General features: G+C 33.6%; 1 long non-coding RNA gene across 1 annotated transcript in view; it reads right to left on the minus strand.

The window, feature by feature from the left end:
* LOC101927967 (uncharacterized) overlaps nucleotides 1-22,868 on the minus strand; it is a 547,036-nt gene that overhangs the window by 121,077 nt on the left and 403,091 nt on the right. Inside the window, exon 2 of the long non-coding RNA NR_110288.1 lies at nucleotides 10,208-10,290. This is a non-coding gene — a long non-coding RNA (uncharacterized LOC101927967). The remainder of the gene's footprint in view (nucleotides 1-10,207; nucleotides 10,291-22,868) is intronic.

Here is a 22,868-nt window from a genome sequence, read left to right on the forward strand (position 1 = left end):
CCTTTAGAAAGTCATTATTATGGGCCGGGCGCGGTGGCTCACGCTTGTAATCCCAGCACTTTGGGAGGCCGAGGTGGGCGGATCACGAGGTCAGGAGATCGAGACCATCCTGGCTAACACGGTGAAACCCCGTCTCTACTAAAAAAAATACAAAAAAATTAGCCGGGCGTGATGGTGGGCGCCTGTAGTCCTAGCTACTCGGGAGGCTGAGGCAGGAGAATGGCATGAACCCGGGAGGCGGAGCTTGCAGTGAGCCGAGATTGCGCCACTGCACTCCCGCCTGGGCCACAGAGTGAGACTCCGTCTCAAAAAAAAAAAAAAAAAAAAAAGAAAGTCATTATTATGTCTTTCCAGGGATACCATAATACTAGCTGCCCTTCTTCTATTCTTAGCCTTTAAACTAATTCTCAACATAGTAGCCGCTTGGGTCATTTATGAATGCAAATTAGATATAGTGTAAATCACTATAACATCTATTTATTGCAATTAGAATAAAATGTAAACTCTTATTATGGCATATCCTTAATAATATAGGTAAATATATATTCTTACCTCTCCAACTTCACCTCTTATTATTCTCTTTCTAGCTCACAAAAGTCAGCTTCACTGACTTCCTGTGTTATTTTTCAACTAAGTCAAACTCTCACCACTTTGGGCCCTTATTGCTGTTAATTTCATTGGAATTTGCTCCTCTAGCATTTCCTTATTTTTTGAATATTATTGGGAAATATAATTTTAAGATAATCTTCCCCAAGCCAAAAATGTTCTTCAAAAAGGTGGTAAAGAAAACACATATGTTGGTTTGCATATTTTGGCAACATTATCATTTTACAACTTTATTTTAGAAAAATGGTCTGACATACACACACACACACAATTTCTAAAAAATTTCACAGAGGAACCCTCCACAAATTGTTCAGGCCAAAAAAGAAGAGACAATGTTACTTCCCATTCTCTGAACATGACTGATGCTGGGCAGCTATTCAGGAGATAATTGGTCTCTTTACATAAAGAGTCATATGAATTTGATATTTTTCTTTTCAAGTTCTTGAGAGTATTAGTGTTTTTTCTCAAAAAGATAGGCCAATCATTTGTGAGGAATGTAAAAGGAAGAGAGTATTTAAAATAATAACCATACAATACCAAAAACAAACAAAAAAAAACTCTATTCACTTCACAATTAGGTTTTGGGCCATGTCTTCTAACACTGTGAAGCCAAAGTAATAATAAATCTGGTTAGATCAGGGATCAAGGTGGGGCATACTTTGAAAGCTGACATATTTTGTGTATGATCTCTTAAGTTGTACTTCTCTAGGAAAACTTCCCTCCTGCCTTCTCCACTGCATCTTTCCTAAATTCTGATCTCTTTTCTGAACAATATGACATTTATTCTTATTTATAATTTTTAAATGTATTTAAATTATTTTTTCATAGAGACAGGGTCTCCCTATGTTGCCCAGACTGGTCTTGAACTCCTGGACTCAAGTGATCTTCCTACCTTAGCCTTCCAAAGTGCTGGGATTACAGATGTGAGCTACCATGTCCAGATGACATAATATAACATTTCTTATGCAGCCACTTTAAAAAAAAAAAATTTCATAGATGATTAACTGTGTGCATGTTTGGAAGGTTTATTCACATTGTCAACAAAGGCCATGAGATCTGTGGAGAAAAAATGGAAAGCTTAATTTCTATTATAAAATAATCCATTGATTGGGGAGGCATAACATTCAATAGAAATAAAAGAATGCTCTCCACAGAACAAAGGGAGGGACTGGCTTAAATAGGGAAAGTTCTCACCTAGGTTATCAACCAGGTCCACTTACACAAATGAAAGTTTCAAACTTGTTCATTTCTGATTGGCCAAAATAGTTGAGCCCTGATTAGGTGGTCTCTAGACCCAAAATCAGCCAAGTCTCTGTCAGATGTTTCTTTCAAACAGCCAGTGAGTGGCACGGGGAGTTTCTGGTCACAGTTAATCTTGGCACTGACAACAGGAACTTCTTTGGCTTGGTTGTAAAAAGGGAGGTCCTGTGACACTTAGATCTTTCTAGGAATGCAGAGTACGTGATTGTTCCCTCTCTTAACTATGATGGCCTGGTTCTGCTTTAACTTTGAGAAGCTCAGTTAGCCAGGGAGAGTCCATTTTGTCTGTTAGCGGGGGCAAATTTCAACAACACATAGATAATAATGTCTTAAATTCTTAAAGAGCTAATTTCTCATTATTCTATATATCTCTCCACACATATCTACTAGTTGAGAACATCTGAAATACTTACTGTTTTTTTTTTTTACATGGAAACTCTACAAACTTATATTTTTGCCATGACATTATTTTTCCTGTGTCCCAGATGTTCAATGCCATGATGTTTTATTGAACATTTAAAAGCCATATATTGTAAAAAATGTTAGTATTTAGAAGACTCTCAAGAAGTTTCATATCTCTGTGTATCTGAGGACATTTCATTAAGCAAAGAGCCTAAAGATGTTTCTCTAAAAGTTTGGCAGTGTGGAACTTCTCTCAGAATATTTCATCATGAGGATTTCCTTGGATTGGCTTTACTCATGTATCATTTAGCAGTTAGCAATTCACTTACTTATTTTGTGCTTCTCCTTGGCCATTCTTTGCCAGAACAATTAGATTCCACAACAGGAATTTGGTCCTAAACATTTTTTAATTATTTCCTTTACTCTTGGATATGTGTTTAAAATTTATTCTAAATATGTCAAATATAAAATAAGATTAGCTGTTACTGTTGGAAAACAACAGTTTTATATTGAAATTACTTTTTAGCGACTTTATATTTCAACGGAAAACATATTTCTACTTGCAATACTTAGATGAGTGATTTGGAATGAGCCACTGAGGATCAGAGAACTTGCCTTCAAGTTTTCATGACACCACTTGTGAACAGAGTTCTGGGCAATCTATTTTTTTTTTTTTTTTCACATTGGAGTTTTGTATAGCAGGTAGGCTGGAGCAGCGGTCTCCCATCAATCAGACATTCATAACAAAAGTTTACATATGTGTTTGTTGAAACTGAGAAGGTAGATTTTTGGTTAATAAGGAAAAACGTGTTATTTATTTTCAAAAAAAGCCTTTTTATATATGTTAAAGATAATAAGTCTTTACATTTGTGAAAAAGTATTTTTGATATTATTCTATTGATCAAACTTAGACACCATTGATCTTTCACATTCTTCAATGAGTTAAGTTAAAGAAACAAAAATAAATTCAGGGTCATGGTTGAAACAAATTTGATAAGTGCTATATTTTTAAAATTTCTATTAAAACATATTTTTGCTCTTCTTTTGTTTTCTATAATGTTTAATTCTCCATTTCTTTTTTTTTCTGATTTTTCCAATGTAGAAAAAAATGTAGTCAATAGAGTAAGTTCCAAATTCCAAGTTAATATGCCTTTAGCATGTATTTTCTAGGCTTAAAATTGTAGTTTTACTCTCATATTTAACTTGAGATAAGTGAACTGACTATTCTCATCTCTGGTGGTATTTACCATAGTTGCATTTGCACTTTGCAAAAGTACTCAAAAAAGATATATCTTTACCCCAAGCAGTGTTTTTCTTTAATTTCTAATAGACTGAAGTTTTCCCCACTTAGGTGGAACAGGACTCACGAGATGTCACCAGTAAGCTGTGACACTACTGTGGCACTTAGTGGAGATCTATTCGGAATGTCAATATAATCTAATCATCATTTGAATGCAAACATCATCAGCTTCTCTTCGATGACTTCTTCATTCTATTTATTTTGTACACATATAACAATTTTCTGCCAAACTACAATTCCCAGACATTGGAAACTAGCAGACTTTAATAACTACAAAAATTAGAACAATATACACATATTGTCAGTGACATTTGGAAAATAAAACAATGCTATTTAGTTTGCTAGACACAATAAATTCAATAATTTCAGAATAAAGGACTGTTTTCCAAACGTAATCAATCTAACTTTATAAACAGTTGATTATGTTGTTCTTATTTATCAGATTTCACTATTTACAATTATGAATTCTGTCACAGACAGCACCTAGACTGAAAACAGCCCTCTATGGATTGTTGATTTAGGGTCATGGTCTCTGAAGTCACATGTAAGTCAATCAAATGGTATGTAAGAGAATGCCTCAGGGTGTCAGAAAAAAATATTAGAATTGAATTTATAATTAGTTTTAAAATCTCACCCTTTAAAAATGTGAATGTTTTGATTCAAACATTGTATATTGTGTATGATATAAAATACATTAGTACGGTAGTGTGTAACTATAACTTATAAACACATAAACAGAAATGTATTAGGTAGGAAGACTTCAGCTTTTTAACAGATAGAATATAGAATCATATATTTGGGGTCCACTAATTTAGTGAATTAGTTTTTATAATACCTATGTTTTAGTCCAGTGATTTTATACTATGCTGATAGGAAATTCAAGAACATTAAATAATTCATTGTAAGGAGACATACAGGGAAGAAGGAAGAAGCCTTTCAAGGTTCTCTTTACCTCTATTTAGTTTCATACCAGGACACCTCTAGTTTTGTCTGTTTTACATAATGTGCTTTAATATTATAATTTATCTGTCAGAAACATAATTTCCACCAATAATTTTATTTGATTTATTTATTTAGGGACAGAGACTCACTCTGTCATGCAGGCTGGAGTGCAGTGGCCCAGTCTCGGCTCACTGCAACCTCCACCTCCCAGGTTCAAGATATTCTCATGCCCCAGCCTCCCAAGTAGCTGGGATTACAGGCATGGGTCACCAAGCTCAGCTAATTTTTGTATTTTTAGTAGAGATGGGGTTTCACCATGTTGGCCAGGCTATTATTGAACTCCTGGCCTCAAGTAATCTGCCCATCTCAGCCTCCCAAAGTGCTAGGATTACAGGTGTGAGCCACAACGCCCAGCCTTTATTTTTTTAATTGACACATTATAATTGTACATATTTATGGTGTAAAATTTAATGTTTTAATATGTATATATGCTGTTTATCAAATCAGGGGTATTTTAACATATCTATCATCTCGTGCATTTATCATTACTTTGTATTGAAAACACTCAAAAGCCTCTCTTCTAGCTATTTTGTAATATACAATATTTCAATGGCACTAATGATTTTTAAATATTCGTTGAAAACCACTATTAAGGTGTAGGATGGCATTGTCATTTTGAGCCAGTAGAAACCATGTTAGTTACATATGTATATATATCTGAATACAACTGCAATTATTGTTTTATTTTTTTCCTCCCTAAAGCCTCCTTTAGTTTTTCTCATTGTTTTCAAAGGCTGCATGATAGTCTATTAAGTGGTTTCATAGTAAATCATTTTGAACAATTTCAATTGGCAAATATTCTCTTCTTCCAATTTTCAACATTTATTTATATTCCTTAACAGTATTTTTAGAGAAAAAAATAATTTTAGAGAAATCTGAAGAAGAAATGCCTGCTGATTTTAGAGTTGATAAAATAAGAAAATTTTAAGGAAGAGACACTTGAGCAGAGAGCTGAGTAACCATCGGTAATGAAATAAGCAAAGACAGTGGGAAGACAACGCAAAGCTAAGTATATGTTCTAAGGGCTATAATATGTCAGAGGCCTGTATGCTGTTACCCCAGGTGCTGGGTTTTACGTCATACCGCTCAATAATTGAAATTTGTTTTTAACTATCTATTTTTGGGACAATTTTAGATTAACAGAATTATTACAAAGATAACCCAGATATCCCCATATGATCCACATTCGGTTTTCTCCATTATCAAAACTGTATCAATTTCCTATTCCTACTCTAACAAATGTCAACATACTTAGAGGCTTGCAACAACACAAATGTCTTGCCTTAAAGCAGGTTAGAAGCAGTAAAATCAATTTGTCTGCTGGGTTGTGTTTCTTCTGGAGGCTCTGGGGCAGCAGACCCCAACATTTTCAGCACCAGGGATGGGTTTTGTGGAAGACAATTTTTCCACAGATGGATGGGGTTGGAGTTGTAGGGGGATGTTTTGGGGATGAAACTTTTTCCACTTTAGACCAACAGGCATTAGTGAAGTTCTTTATTTTTATTTATTTATTTTTTTATTATACTTTAAGTTCTAGGGTAAATGTGCACAATGTGCAGGTTTGTTACACATGTATACATGCGCCATGTGGGTGTGCTGCACCCATACTCGCCATTTACATTAGGTATATTTCCTAATGCTATCTCTCCCCCCTCCCCCCACCCCACAACAGGCCCCAGAGTGTGATGTTCCCCTTTCTGTGTCCACGTGTTCTCATTGTTCAATTCCCACCTATGAGTGAGAACATGCAGTGTTTGGTTTTTTGTCCTTGCTATAGTTTGCTGAGAATGATGGTTTCCAGCCATCCATGTCCCTACAAAAGGACATGAACTCATCGTTTTTTATGGCTGCATAGTATTCCATGGTGTATATGTGCCACATTTTCTTAATCCAGTCTATCATTTATGGACATTTGGGTTGGTTCCAAGTCTGTGCTATTGTAAATAGTGCCGCAATAAATATATGTGTGCATGTGTCTTTATAGCAGCATGATTTATAATCCTTTGGGTATATACCCAGTAATGGGATGGCTGGGTCAAATGGTATTTCTAGTTCTAGATCCTTGAGAAATCACCACACTGTCTTCCACAATAGTTGAACTACTTTACAGTCCCACCAACAGTGTAAAAGTGTTCCTATTTCTCCACATCCTCTCCAGCACCTGTTGTTTCCTGACTTTTTAATGATCGCCATTCTAACTGGTATGAGATAGTGAGGTTCTTATAAGGAGCACTTACCCTACATTCCTCGCATGTTCAGTTCACAGTAGGGTTCGGGCTCCTATGAGAATCTAATGTTGCTGCTGATCTGACAGGAACCAGAGCTCAGGCAGTAATGCTGGGTCTCTGCCACTCACCTCCTGCTGTGCAGCCAGGTTCCTAACAGGCCATGGACTGGTACCAGTCTGCCACCTGGGGAATGGGGACCCTTGCTGTAGGAGATAATCCACTTCCTTGCCTTTTTCAGCTTCTAGAGGCTATCTCTATTTCTTAGCTTATAGCTCCCTTCTTCCACCTCCAAGGCCAACAGAGTAGCACTTTCCAATCTCTCTTACACACACTCACACACATCTCAATTTCATCATCACATCGATAACTCTGAGCCTCCTGCCTCTCTTATAATGACTCTTGTGATTAGGCACATCTAGGTAATCCAGAATAATCTCTCCATCTCAAGACCCTTAATTTATATCTGTAGGTTGCCTGTTTTCATGTAGGGTAACAGTTTCACAGATTTAGGGGATTAGGAGGTAGACATTTTTGGGGGATGGAAGGACATTATATCTTACACTGATAAGGTGTATTTGTCACAAATACATTGATATACTATTGATATACTATATTGATATACTATTATTTTTTATACAGATATTCATGCTTTCCTTTCCATTCTCTTCCACTCTGGACCTCCTAACTCTAAGTTGCCTGTGTCTCATCCTAATTTAATTTCCTTACTATTACCACCAGCCTCACATTTTATGTAATGTACCATTATGAGCATTTAAGTTACTACAAATCCCTCCTTTTTAATTCATTTTCAGTCAGCTTCCAAGGTATCACACAATTCTTTTCTCCTCCTACTTTACCAGTCTCTCCTTTTTAGGGCTATTTGCTGAATTCTTTTTCTGTTTCCAACATCTTAGTGTTGTAGATACTAGAGATCAGTCTTTGGCCTTCTTCTCTTTTCTGCTCACATTCACTGAATCATCATTTTATTCAGTTAGATGGCTTTATAGTCAAATGTGTGCCTAGAATTTCAAAGCTTTATCTTCAGGCTGGTCACTCTCCTTAAGTCCAGATGCATATATTCAACTTGCTACATTTCCATTAAGATACCTAATAGATATCCCAAATATGCACAGATACACCCCCACACATACTCACACACACAAAGCATAATCATCTCTACTTCAGCAGATGACAACTTCTTTCGTTTAATGGCTCAGACTAAAGCTTTCAGTCATTGTTGACTCTTTTTCTATCATATTAAATCGAATCTGTCAAGAATTTCTCTTGGCTTTACTAAAAAAATACATTATAATTCAACCATTATCTACACACTACAATTCTGATCCAAGCCATCTTTGTTTCTGCTATCGATTGATCCAATAGCCTCTAGGTTCATCTCCTTGCCCCTACCAGTCTATTATCAAAACAGAAGTCAGAGTTATTTATCCATTATGACATAGAGGTCAGACATTGCTACTTTCTTGTTCAAGTCATTCAATGCTGTCTCTTTTTATTTATTCAGAATTAAATGGAAAGTCCTTAAAATAGCCTATAATGGTCAAAATTGTTTGACTCCTATTAGCTCTGTGGCCTCATTTCCTTCTATGTTGCTTATATAGCTCCTATCATAATGACCTCTCTGTTTTTCCTCAAACACACAAGTCCAATCCCATTTCAAGCATTTTGCACTGGGGTGTTCCCTCTCTCTGTATTGCTTTCCCAATATTTGCATGTATATCACCTGATTAGTAAGACCTGAGCCCACAGCCTTATGTAAAATTGCAACCCACTTATCACTCTCATACTCTTGATTCCCTTCAACCAACTCTATTTCTTCCGTAACACGTACCATATTCTAATCATTATATTTAGTTGTTTTACATTTATATTGTTTAATTTATATTATTCCCTCATCTCGTCATTTTAATGTAAGCTAGACATCAGCAAGCATTATGGTTTGTTTTAGTTACCATTCCTCCCAGACACTGTAAACTCTGCCTGGCACATAGCAGAAACTCAATATGTAATTTGTGAATCAATGAATAAGTCATTCCATTTAAGAAAAAATATAATGTCTGGCATAAAACAAAGCACAATTTTTCTATATTTATTCAAGTAATAAAAAGCGGTTGCCAACTGGATAATTCCCAATTTGGCATTCCAGAAGCAAGAACGAAGTCCGTAAAAAAAATCCTACCTCCAAAAAAAAAGAAAAATCCCTGATATATTTTTTGTTTTTTAAAAATAAACATTACCAGTGAAGGATTTGTGATCATATCCAAACATTTCATAAGACCACACAAGAAATTAATAGCCCAGTGATGCCTAAGCCAAAATTTAACCTTCATACACATAAAAAACTCACGAAGACATGCAAGCATTAGATTCAGTTACATCAACAGAGGACAAAAACACAAGATGGCAAATTCTTCTCCTTAAGAACTGAATACACAAAAGTATTTCAATAGAAAAAAATCTCATAAAGGCAGGATTTCAAGTGAGTATTAAAAAGTTAATGATTCTTTTGAGATTTTAATTCCAGACATTCATGAGTTACATGTCCTCTAGACTCTACAGCTTGAGCAATTGCGATCAAATTCTTTATATGGTTAGGCTACTTTTTTTTTTAAGGGCATATGGAAGAAAAGACAGAAAATAATATTTCAGAGATTTCTGAGGCCAAAAAAATAGACTTTTAATGCATCACTTCTATCTAGCAAAACCAGATAGAAAGAGACATTACATGTCTGTAGACATTTTCACATACACACAAATGTGCCTACACCCACAGTCATAACTTTCTGATAATAAAAGTGTTCTTGTGATTGGTGTCATACATACCTTCTACAGAATTCTGCAAGCTATCAAGATAGTGTACGTATCTGGAATAAGATCTCTTCTCCCTAAACAGGAAGTCAGAGTGAACTGACACCCTGGGTGTAAGACCATTACTTGCTCACTATCTACCCAAGTATTATAGTAAAGAGATATCTATTCCTTTCTTTCACCCTGACCCACACATTGCCTTAAACTCACCAGAATTAATCTCTCTATATATCTATATCCATATATCTATACATATCTATTTTATCTATATATATATATTTATCTATCTAGATAGATATATAGCTAGATATATTTATCTCATTAATTTAGTGCCAAGAAAATGCTCATATTCCTAGTAACATCTTGTATTCTTTACATGAATGATCATATATCTTTATATAGCTACTATTCTGTCTCCTTTTTAATGCTTCCTCAAATTCTAAAATAGTTTCTGGATGCCATTTGAAATTTATGCTCCATTAACAGTTAAATATCTCATACTTGTGTTCGAAATATTTCTTTCATCTTTATGTTTGAATGTAAGTCTGAACCTCTTCTAAGGACCCTAGTTAACACTACTTACCATAGATTTCATTCCACGGGACCTGGAGCTGGTGTCAGTGTCATTCTTTCTCCTCATTACCATTTTCAAACCATTCTCCTTTCCTACATTAAAAAAAAAAGAGAGAAGAAGAAGAATCAGAATTATATCTAATTTAAAGATTATATCACACTGTATTCTTTATTTTGATGCTATGTAGTGTCCTCAAATTAAAATTTGATTTAATGTGATTGCATCTTTTTTTTATCCTTTGGGGAATTATAAAAAAACAAGATATATTTGTGAACATTATTTGTATATTCTATTAACCTGCTTTTCTCACTAAATAATATAACTTGGTAATGTTCTCATATGCCATAAATTCTAATAGTCGCATATTACGCTACTATATGGAATTACATTGATCTATTTAACAATTTCCGGGTAATTTTTATTTCATTTTTATTGGTAAAATAATCCTATACTTTTTAAAAATTAAACATATTATAAATTGTTTTTTATTTCAAAGGACTTGATAAATATTTATGAAATTCCATTCTACAACTTGCCCTTTTAATTTCCACAGCCTATTTCTAAAAAAAAAGTAAAATTATACTTTAGATTATAAATAGAATCTCAATGAATTTTTAAAAGAAGATATTTCAAAGGATACATTTTATGATCCACATGCATTCAATCTAAAATATGGTTTACAAAGGTATAAAGGAAAAAAATAGCCACATGAAAAATACATTCCATTAAATAATTTTGGGGTCTAAATGTTAATAAAAAACCACAATTACATAAGCTTTAGAAAACAATGAAAATGAGAACATTGTATATGACCACCTATAATACTGATCAAAAGTCAAGTAAGAAAGAACATTGTAAATGAGCCATTCTGTTCAAAAAGTTAAAAAGAAAGCATAAAACAAACGTGGAAAGCAGGAATGTCACAGGGGCAGAAAGATTCAGGCTTCAGATCTGCCTGAGTTCTGCTCTTCATAATTTATAATTAAAACAAAGTAAAAAAAAATGGATTATTACACTGAAAATCATTTGGCCTATTTCAAAGACTTGCATAAATATTATGCTTTTTATCACTTCTGCCAAATGGCCACAAGATGCTGACTTCTATAGAACATGACAATTCTAAACTGTAAAACATTAAATGTTACAGAAAACATGCTGTGGAAGTCCACTTTGTCAAAATATCCTAGTTCTATATAGCAAGGCTTTGGAATAACTTGTAAATGAATAAACAAGCATCATAGGTAAGCCAGATTGAACATTCAAGGAAACATTTTGAGCACCTTGTAAACTATAATCATCCAATCCCTCTTGGACACTTGCCTCCGTTTTGGCAATTTGGAAGCAAGATGAAAGTAGATAAAGTGTTTACTACAAGAGAGGGTGCTTCTGCGATATACAAAGGGAATTGTAAACTTAGTCCTGTGATCCTGCCATTAGTCTTTTTAATGATTCTGAGCCACAACCTCCCTGAGATAACATCTTTTTCTCTCTATGCTTGAGCTTTGAGAAGCCTAGAGGAATCTTGATTTTTTTTTAGCCTTTTATTAAACTTAAGCCTAGAAATAAGGGAAAGCTAAAGGAAAAGGATTAGAGAGGTTTGTTCAGCACTGCCAGAGAAAGAAAATCCCTGCCTTACTGCCCGATATATTAAACTCCTGATCTTGCAATTGCATAAAATTATTACTGGCATTATATCTATGTCAATTAAATCTGGTGCTGCAGAAAATGATTTAACCAGTTATCTCTTTCAATGTCATTCAAGAACTCTAATTAGTGTGACAGGTGTGTTTCTCTTTTAAGTAGTGCTGTAGTCATCTAGGTATTATTCAAAGGCACCATTAAAACTCATTAATATGAGAGTATCTCAGAGGGGTTTATGGGCTTTCGGGAGTACTGTTCAGACAAGTTTGCCCATAAAAGTATTTTGGATTAAAAATGTTAGAGTATATTGTTTTCTATCATGAGAAAATATTTCTTTCAGTGTTATAAGCAGACTGATAATGCTTCTGCTTATTTTTCAAAGATCCTCTATTTTTATAAGACCTAGAATTTTGTTCCTTATTTTATTCATAACCTTCACAAATAGATATAATTTTATTCAATACACAATTTTTGTAAGAAAAGAGAAATGCAGTGAATGAAAGTTTAACTTTTCTAAGTTTACCTAGTAAAACTTCTTTTACTCTCTGGCTACCCTCCTCTGTTTTACTGTTCATCTTAACTACGAATAAACTGGTTTGGCAATAATAAAAGAAAGATTTGAATATCCATGAGCAATTTAAAATTATAGCTTGGAAAGTATTGCTTTCAGACTCACACTTTTTCCTATCTTTCCTTCCTGATTAGTGCAAAAGCTCATTGACCCACCATTCCATTGAAGCCCAATTAGTTTTTGGATAGTTTGCACTATTTTATGGTGGAAGCATGCCTGACCAAACAGATTACTATAACCTGAGAGTAGATTTCTCTTCTTATGTATTTTCAAACCCTACCCAATGCAGTACTGAACATATAGTTAGAAATTATTTAGTGTTTGTTAACACTTTATTTTCTAAGTAGAGAATTTTAATATTAATAATAAAATATCTTTATTGACATATTTTCACTAAAATAAATTATATGCAAAGTATTTTAACGTTGTTATATAACCAGAATTTAACAAGTGAATTCCATATGTCAGATATAGGGCTAAGAAACAGGAATATAGAGAGGAGTATAATGTAAACCCAGATCTCAAAAGGTTCAGAATCTGGTATGGGGGACAAATAAGTAAACCAATAATTACAAAATGCAACAATGGGTTTCATAATTGAGAAATACAGGAGATAAAAGATTTAGGTAAGTGATTCTTAGTTAAGAAAAAGCAAGGTTTGGGGCAAAGTTTCAAGGTTGGGGAAAATTGGGCAGAGCATATCTTCTATAATAGAAAGTACAATGCTAAATCTTGAAGAGTAAGTACAATGTGGCCAAAATGAAAATTTTGGGAAGGATATTTTTAGCAAAGACAAGATCTGCTAAATCAGATGAGAGTATGGGACATAAAGAAACTTATGGTAATTTTGTATTATCCACCGAGTATATGAAAAAAATTGAGAAATGAGACTAAAAACAGAGTAAACAAATGATTAATAACTAAGAGAATATTAAAGAATGCTATGGTTTGAATGTGTTCCCTTAAGTTCATATGTTGGGAACCTAATCCTCAGGGTAATAGTATTTAAAGGTGGGAGTTTATCAGGTGATTAGATAATGAGAGCTCTGTCCTCATGAATGGACAAATGCTGTTATCATGGAAGAGATTTAGTTATCACAGTTGTGGATTCCTGATGAAAAGGATAAGTCTGGCCTCTTCCTCTCTCAGTCTCACACTCTCTTGCTCTGCCACTTTCCATCAAGGGATGATGCATTTGGTGCCATGGATGATGGCACCAAACATGGATGCCACTTTCTTGGACTTCCTAGTCTCCAGAACTGCAAGCCAAGTAAACTTCTATTGTTTATAAATTACCCACTCTGTGATCTTCCATTACAGCAACAAAATTAAGACAAAGAGTTAATACTTCATTTTAATGGTAATAAAAGAGATACAGAGGAATAACACACAGTGAAAATAAATTAAAAACACAAAATAGCAGTTTTAAGTTATAACATCATAGTATTAAGTGTAAGTATTAAGTTATAACAACATAGCATTATCGTTAAATGAAAATAGTATAGAAATACCAATTAAAGTCAGACTGGTGGAGTGGAGGGAAAAATCACAAACCAACTCTATGGTGTTTTACAAATAATTGATTTCAAATTTTACAGCATAGGTAATTTAAAGTAAAAGTGTTACAGGAAAGGGGTCCTGATCCAGACTGCAAAAGTGGGTTCTTGGAATTCACACAAGAAAGAATTCAGTGCAAAGTAAAAGCAAGTTTATTGAGAAAGTACAGTGGTGAAAGGACTCCCTAGACAGAGTCGGACGTTCCTGAAAGCAAGAGGAGGAACGCATCCACCCTATGTACAATGTTTTTAAAAAATGATACACTGGATTTAGTGGGATTTATTAGAAGTTTGCAAAGCTGGTTCTATATTAAAAAAAATCAATGTAATCCAACATATCAGCAGGCTAAGAAGGCAAATCACATGACTGTATCGATGCAGAAAAGTCATTTGAGAAAAGCTAGCATCTATTTATAGTAATAATAATAACTCAGTACATTTTCAGTAGAAAAAAAATCTCAACTTGATAAAGATATATTAAAAAACCTAGAGGTAATATCATCCTTAATGTTGAAATATTTAGTGTTTCCACTTTAAGTGAAGAACATGGCAAAAAAAGGCAATTCTCGTCACTCTCATTCAACATAAAACTACAGTGAATCAAGTAAAAAAGAAATAAAAGGCATAAATTGGAAAGGAAGGAAAAAGTCACAAATTGGAAAAAGTAATATCATACTTAATGTTGAAATATTTAGTGTTTCCACTCTAAAGTGAAGAACATGGCAAAAAAAGGCAATTCTCGTCACTCTCATTCAACATAAAACTACAGTGAATCAAGTAAAAAAGAAATAAAAGGCACAAATTGGAAAGGAAGGAAAAACTGTCTCTATTTGTTGATGATACAATTATCTATGTAGAAAATTTCAAGTAGTTTGCAAAGTAGAAATGTTTTGTAGAACTAATAAGAGAGTTAAGCAAGATTGTAGCATATGAAAGTAGCACATGCATAGACACACACAGACAAACGAATCACATTTCTAAATAGTAACAGCGAACATATCAAAACCAAAATTAAAATCACAGTACCATTTATAATTTTTCCAAAAAAATTATAAAATACTTAGGTACAAACTGAACAAAACACGTACATTATCTATACACTAAAATTACAAAATGCTGATAAAAGAAATGAAAGAAGTACCAAATAAATGTAAAGGTATACCATGCTCATAGGAAGAGCCAACATAATAAAGCTGTAATTTCTCTTCAAATTGATTCACAGGTTCAGTGATATTCCTATGAAAATCCCAACAAATTTTGTTGTTGTTGTTGTTGTTGTTTTGTTTCGTATTTTTACACTTTGACAAGCTCATTCTAAAATATTTATGCAAAGCCACAGGCCCTAGAATATCTAAAACAATTTTGAAAAAGAATAATATTGTCTTACCATATTGCTATATAATCATGAGAGTGTAGTATTGGTGGAAAAATAGGTCATAAATCAATAGAACAGACCAGAGAACCTAACATTAGACTCCTGCAAAGGCACAAAGGCTATTCAATGCAGAAAGCATCACCTTCTGTTTGTTTGTTTGTTTTTGAAGATAGGATCTTACTCTCTCATGCAGGCTGGAGTACAGTGGCATAATCATGGCTCGCTGCAGCCTTAAACTCCTGGGCTAAGAGATCCTCTCACTGCAGTCCCCTAAATAGCTGGGACTATAGGTTCATGCCACCACACCTGATTAATTTATTTTTAAAAAAAATTATTGTAGAAATAAGGGTCTCACTATGTTGGCAAGTTTGGTCTTGAAATCTTGGCTTCAAGCAATCCTTCCACCTTGGCTTCCAAAAGTTCTGGGATTACAGGCATAAACCACCACATCCATCCAGCATAGCTTTTCAAATAAATGGTATCGCTGCAACAAGATATCCATAGGCCAAAAAAAAAGTCTTGACCTTAACCTCATGCCTTATGCAAAAGTTAATATAAATAAACGTATCTTGTATTTCAACGCAAAATATAAGACTATCTTTTTGTGAAAAGTAGGAGAAAATCTTTGTAACCGCAGTTAGGCAAAGACTTCTTAGGCTTGACACCAAAAGTACAAAGCATAAAAGGAAAAAACAGTGATAAATTGGACTTCATCAAAATTAAAAACCCTTGCTCCATGAAAAGCCCTCTTAAGAGAATTGAAAAGATAACCTACAGTCTGGGAAAGAAAGAAATGCAAACCTCTTATTCAAATAAAGATTTTTATCTAAAATATATAAACAACTCAAAAACCTCACCAGATAAAAATGAACAATCCAGTCAGAAAATGGGAAAAAATGAATTGAATATATGTTTAACCCAACAGGATATCCAGATGGCAAATAAGCAAGAGAGATGTTGCACTTCATTAATCACTAGAAAATAGGAGGTTAAAATCACAATGAGCTATTCTAGCACACCTATCAGAATGGCTAATATTTAAAAATAAAACCATGATAATATCAAATGCTGACAGGAATGTGGAGAAATTGAATCATTCATACATTGCTGGTGAGAACATAAAATGATATAGTCATTCTGAAAATTATTTGGCAATTACTTATAAAATTAAAATGCTCTTACCATATGACCCAGCAATTGCACTTTCAGGCCTTTGTCTTAGAGAAATGACAACCTAACCTAACACCAAAACCTAAATAAATGTTCATAGCAGTTTTATTAATATTCTTCGTATCCAAAATCTAGCAACAATCCTGTCCTTAAATGGCCAATGACTGAATAAACTGTGATTCATATGTACCATGGAACACTACTCAGGGATCAAGAAAACAAACTAGTAACATATGGAACAACCTGGAAAAAGCTCAAGGGCACTATGTTAAGTGAAAAAAAAAAGCCAATCTCAAGGGGTCATATACTGCATGATTCCATTTATATAACGTTTCTAAATGAAAAAAACTTTGTTATAGCCCCAAATTAGAAGTAATTTGATGTCCTTCAGCATGTGTATAGTAAACCAAGCTATGATACATTCATGCTATAGAATACTACTAAGGAATGAAATGAAAGAAAATATTAATATATGTGAAGCTGAGATGAATTATCATTAAATCATGCCGAATGAAAGAAGCCAATCCCAAAAGTTTACCTATTGCATAGCCTATATATAGATATATATATATATATATATTTTTTTTTTTTTTTTGAGACAGAGTTTTACTCTGTGGCCCCGGCTGAAGTGCAGTGGCTTGATCTCGGCTCACTACAACCTCTGCCTCCTAGGTTCAAGCTATTCTCATGCCTCAGCCTCCCAAGTAACTGGGATGACCGGTGCCCACCACCAGGCCTCGCTAATTTTGTGCTTTTAGTAGAAACAAGGTTTCACCATGTTGGTCAGGCTGGTTTTGATCTCCCAACTTCAAGTGATCCACCCTCCTCAGCCTTCCAAAGTGCTGGGATTACAGGTGTGAGCCACCATGCCCAGCCCTGCATAGTCTACCATTATAACATTTTTGAAATGGCAAATTTATAGAAATTGATAACAGATTAGTGGCTGCCAAGGAATAGGGACAGGCCAAGGGTTAGGGACAGATCAAGGGAGAGATATGGGTATGCTTATAAAAGCTCAATAGAAAAGATCCTCTGAAGAATGGAAATATCTCATATCTTGACTGTACCCATGTCAACATCCTGGTTGTGATATTGTATTACAGTTTTGCAAGATGTTACTATCAGGAAGAAAAATGGGTAAAGCATTCCTAGGATCTCTCTGATATTTTATTACAACAGGCTGTGAATCTATAATTAACTCAGTACAAACATATTAAAAAATACAACAGAGAGCTAAACAATATATTTGTACAAATCACTCTCTCTTGCACATTTTTAAAAGAAATAAAAGCAATAAAAAAATCAATTCTAGAAAAATCAAAATCAACCATGCCTAAATTGTAGAGAATACACTTAAAAATATGAAAAATGATTTCATTTAAACTAGACAAAACAGATATACCTTAATAAATGTATTCAAACTTACAGCAATTTTAAAGTTGACATGTTTCTTATATTAATAGAATAAAAGTGGCATAGTGTTATATATTAAATTGAAATAGAAAAGGTTGAATTAGCAGACATTTATTACATTTTAAAATAAAGTCTTAGCTTCGAATAAACCTGACTCTGACAAAAATATATTTCCATTTACAGGCAAAACACAAAGTCTATATACATAATTTTTCAACTCAATTCATTTTTAGTGTATTTTTACATCAGTAAGTGTATTTGCATTTTAATTGTTTTTATGATAGTCAGCTATACATTTTAAAATCATTTCATTAAACATTTATACATGTTTTTACCTCATCGAAGCAAACTTGTTTTGTTGAAGGACCTGAAATTTTAACAGATTTTTAAATATATTTGTCAGATATTTCCCCTATGTGAAGATTGCTGCTTTCCACATTTTTGAGATGCTGGAGGTCTTTCTTTCCCTTCCTCCTTCTTTCCTGACCATCCCTCTATTCCTTCTCCTGCCCTTCCTTTCTTTCTTCTTTGTCAATGTTATTGAAACATGACTTACATTTTAAAATGCCATTTTCTTGATTGCTTTTCAGAATGAATGTATCTCCATAAGACATTTGCTCATTAATGTGTTCTTTTATTTTTGCTTAATAACCATGCCTCTCCTTTTTTAATGCTTAAACATAACACATGGGTATGTTAATATTATAAGATACACTAACATATGTTAGTGTGTACTGGTGTGGAGATTTTTTTAAAGAAGAGGCATGATTAACACTTTGTGGATATATAGCAAAAGTCCCAAGAGAAATTTCTAGGTGGACTCCACAGAGTCTTTTATGATCTAAGCTACCATTGCCACTTGTGTTGCCAATCTAATATCAATGTGATTGTTGTCATTGTTGTCTTGGAAACATCTCTAAAAGATAACTCCTTTCATATTTCCTTGAATACATAACGAAGAGCTTACCTTTGAACAAATACACCTTGCCACCTTCTCAGATCATCTCAGCCAGAAACCTATTTTTTATGATTTTATAGTATTGCATTCATGTCATAACATTCATTCCTTATCATAGAAGTTAAGAATGTAAGCTGTATTTAACCCCAAATTTGGCAAACTATTATATTTTTGACAAGGGAAACTTAGTCCTTTTGTCTCAGTTTGCTTATATATAATAGTAAAGGCTACCTCATAATGCATTTGGAGGATTAAAAGTGTTAAAATATGGAGAACTTTCATAATAGGATTGGAACATAGTGAGAGAAAACTAGAGTAACCTTAGTTAAGCAAATTCCCTTATATTAGACCTGTGTGTAAATGCCAGGTCTCTGCTACTATATTTCAAGCTCCTGTAGAGAAGAGACATTGTTGCAGTTTTATAACTCCAGAGTGACTAATATGTACTTTATGCTCCACAGATACTCACTTTTTATGCAGAAAATATGATTCTTTTCTTAGCATAGTATCTGATAAGCAGACTACAGATCAACTGTCGCTTCTTCAGAAAGTTCAGAAAGTTCTTCTCTAAAGTAAACCAAACACTATTATTTTAATCTATGTTTTAATCATACATAACACAACTTTATATTTTTCTTTATGTATTTATTATCCTTACACACTGTCTGACATCTTGGATTTGATGTGTACCTAGCACCTGAAGAATATCTTACACATAGTAGATAATTACTTATTGAATAAATGAATATGATATTAGTTAACTTTATCTTTGTTGTTTTAGAGGCATGTATTTTTCAAGATTCGTTGTCATTGCTACTAGTCTTTTAAAAAGTCACTTATCTGTCCTAATAAATCTGTTTGGATATGCTTAATGTGGATTTTTGATCCTTCTATTTATTTTCTAAATGGTATGCATATAATTTATTACATTCTATGCTGTAAGGAGTATTTTAAATTGATTTCTTCTATCTATTACTATTTAATAGAGAAGATGATAATAGCCAAAAAGTTAACCATATCTTTTGGTCATAAATTTCTTAATTCATTTAGGACAAAGTTTATAAGGGCAGTATTCCAAAACCTTTTACTGCAACACACTGAAATTAAAGATAAATGCTACAATAATGTTATCTTTCAAAACTTCTTAGAATTATTCTGGGGAAAACTCCTTCACATTTACACAGACGTTTAACAGTTCATTTTAACAGTTCATTTCCACAAGTCTCATAGGTACTATTTTACTTTCATGGTATGCTTATTTTGATCAAAGGTAGGTCCTGTATCCTACAAAACAAAGACATGACTGAAGGAAAAAAGAGACTTTTTCTCTGTAAAAAGGGATCAATTATTCTCGCTACAAAGCCATTCTATTTCTAGCAAGTGAGCTCCAGGAGAAACTTCCTCTTGCTATTACTCATATAAAGAGAAAAAAGCAACGTAGAATTTTTGACAAATTATAAGAAATTCACAGATCATCCTTATTGTGTCTGCGAAGTATGCTAGTTATTAAGATGAGGCAGTACAACTGCTTACCAAGGTCCTGAAAGATGTGCTCACCAACCCAGAATAGGAATGGGGCCAGGCTTGGTGAGTTTCTGGCATAAAGAACTGTGGATGATATCCTAGGCCTTTTTTTTTAAATTGACACTCAAAATAGTACTTGAAGTAATTTAATTTATTTTCCCAGCTTTATTAAATTAGAGTCTACCAATAAAAATGTATATATTTAAGATGTGAAACATGATGTTTTGACATACATATATATTGTGACATGATTAAATTCACGCTGAAAGAAAATTGTGGACTGGCCTCTATATTAAGGTGGTGGGCATAGATAATACACAGAATTGAATCTGGCAAAATAGAACTGAAAGAGCTTTGAGAGGAAACAAAAAAAATCCAGTGTAGAGTTCCATGAGATCTCTGAGGGGAATCTTTTAAATTCTATTCGAGTCTCAGTGTAATTTTTGCAAGGAGAGCTTCTGGATAACTAGGCCTCATGGTGGAAACATAAATAATTACAAAATACGAATGTACTAATTTGGTGTGAGGCAAATATAGTTTGGATACTTTTAGTTTCTCTATTTTGTGTGCATATTTAGTCTCATGTACTTCACTTGCCAGAAATGACTAGAAGAACAGTATTTGGTCACCGGATTGTTGTCAGTAAATGTATGACTTCTGATTAGCACCATACTAGGCATTGATTAATAATCTCAGGATCCAAACATAGAAGAAACTATAAAAAAGAATTCACCTTTTTAAATCATGCAACCAATTGAATAAAATTACCCAAGGTTATTGATAATTGTAACAGACATTTGCCCACTTTTTCTTTAAATTATTCAAAATTAACAAGTTGAGTGCCTACTCTGTGTGAGGCACTGTGCTAAGCACCAGAAACAGAGCAGTTAACATGAAGATTCTTGCTCTCAATCAGCTTAAGGTATAACTATAATGAACTTTTTAAAATAAGAACATTAACAGCAATACATTAATACATTCATTATTTGCTCATGTAGTGTAATCTTAGTATATCCATGACATAGTCTGAGTGTTAACTACAGAATTAATAATAAATTAGAAAAACCTTAATACCCCTGCTGTTTTTTTAGAAAATTATGTCTAAAAATAAAATAATAATAATGATTAACCTAGTTTAAGAAATAAAAAACCACATTTAAAAATAAGAAAGGATTTTTTCTTATCTTCCAATAATGAAGGGTGACTTAAAATAACTGAGGTGAATTCAAGCACTAAGAAATGAAAAATAAAACAGAAAGGGAAGAATGAGCCCTAGTAGCCTTAATAGAGGAAGAAACGAGATGGCTACCACAAACGTCAGGCCCCAAGTACTGAAATCAGAGTAAGAACTTCTCATTCAACCTAGCTCCTAGTCTAATTTTTAAAATAAAAACTAATGCAAAAAAGAAAAAAGTAATGTAAAAGAAAAGAACAAACTTAAAAATGATTTAAATTTATGATGCCAAGTAGGAAGTTAAGCCCTGGAGATTGAGTCATATGGAATGTGTGTAACTTCTGCTTGTTAGATTATAAATTAACGCTCTTCCTCATTATTCTTGTTCTGTAAGAGACTAGGAGAGATGAGAGACAAGACCCCCTACTCCTATTCCCGCTTATAATCACCGATCTTTGTTGTAGATTGTCTCTATACCTAACTCAGACCAGATGGCACAAAAGACACAATGACTGCTACATTTTCAGTGTGTCATGTTAACTCTAACTTTCTGGGAAAAAAAAAAAAACTCATCTAATCAGATTTTTTAAAGCTATGCATTAAGCTTTACATAGAGCAATGGTGAAATTCTGTCAAGCTTCTTGAAACTTTGTCTATATAAGTGATCCCAAACTTCTATACTTCCTATACTTCAAAACACACGTTTCCATTCTTTAAAATCTGTGGTTTCCAGGCAGCCATCCTCAAGTTTGGCACTTGAATAAATATTCTTTCTACTAGAATCTGACCCTTTTGATTAATTTAGGTTGACACTACAAAGTATCAATTCCAATTTTAATTGAGGAAAATTTCCTTCTAACTGTGAAGCATTTATAGGTTAATTTGAACATACTACCTACCTGCATATTGGTATTTTTGAACCTTAACTAATTTAAACAAGATCAAATGTTTAACATCAAGATGTATCTCTCCTACTCAGTTGTCTATGTCTGAACTCAGAATCATGAGGTTCTGCCCCATAAAACTATTTGTTTCTGTTCCAGTAATCAGATTACTGAAGTATTTGGCCCACCTTTTTATAATCACTGAAAGTCAGCAATTTACAGGAATGATAATAGCTCAATTCATGAGAAGCCAGTGCTATATGTCAGGGGTTATATGGAAGCAGCATTGCATAGTGTTTATTTGCTTTCAAAAGCAAACCTTTGGAGAACGAATGTTAAAATCTTAATTTTGCATGTGAGGTTTAAAGGGGTTAGGTGGATGGTGAGGTAACATGGTTACATGA

Source organism: Homo sapiens, chromosome 2 (genome assembly GCF_000001405.40).
Source record: "Homo sapiens chromosome 2, GRCh38.p14 Primary Assembly".
NCBI classification, from domain to species: domain Eukaryota; kingdom Metazoa; phylum Chordata; class Mammalia; order Primates; family Hominidae; genus Homo; species Homo sapiens.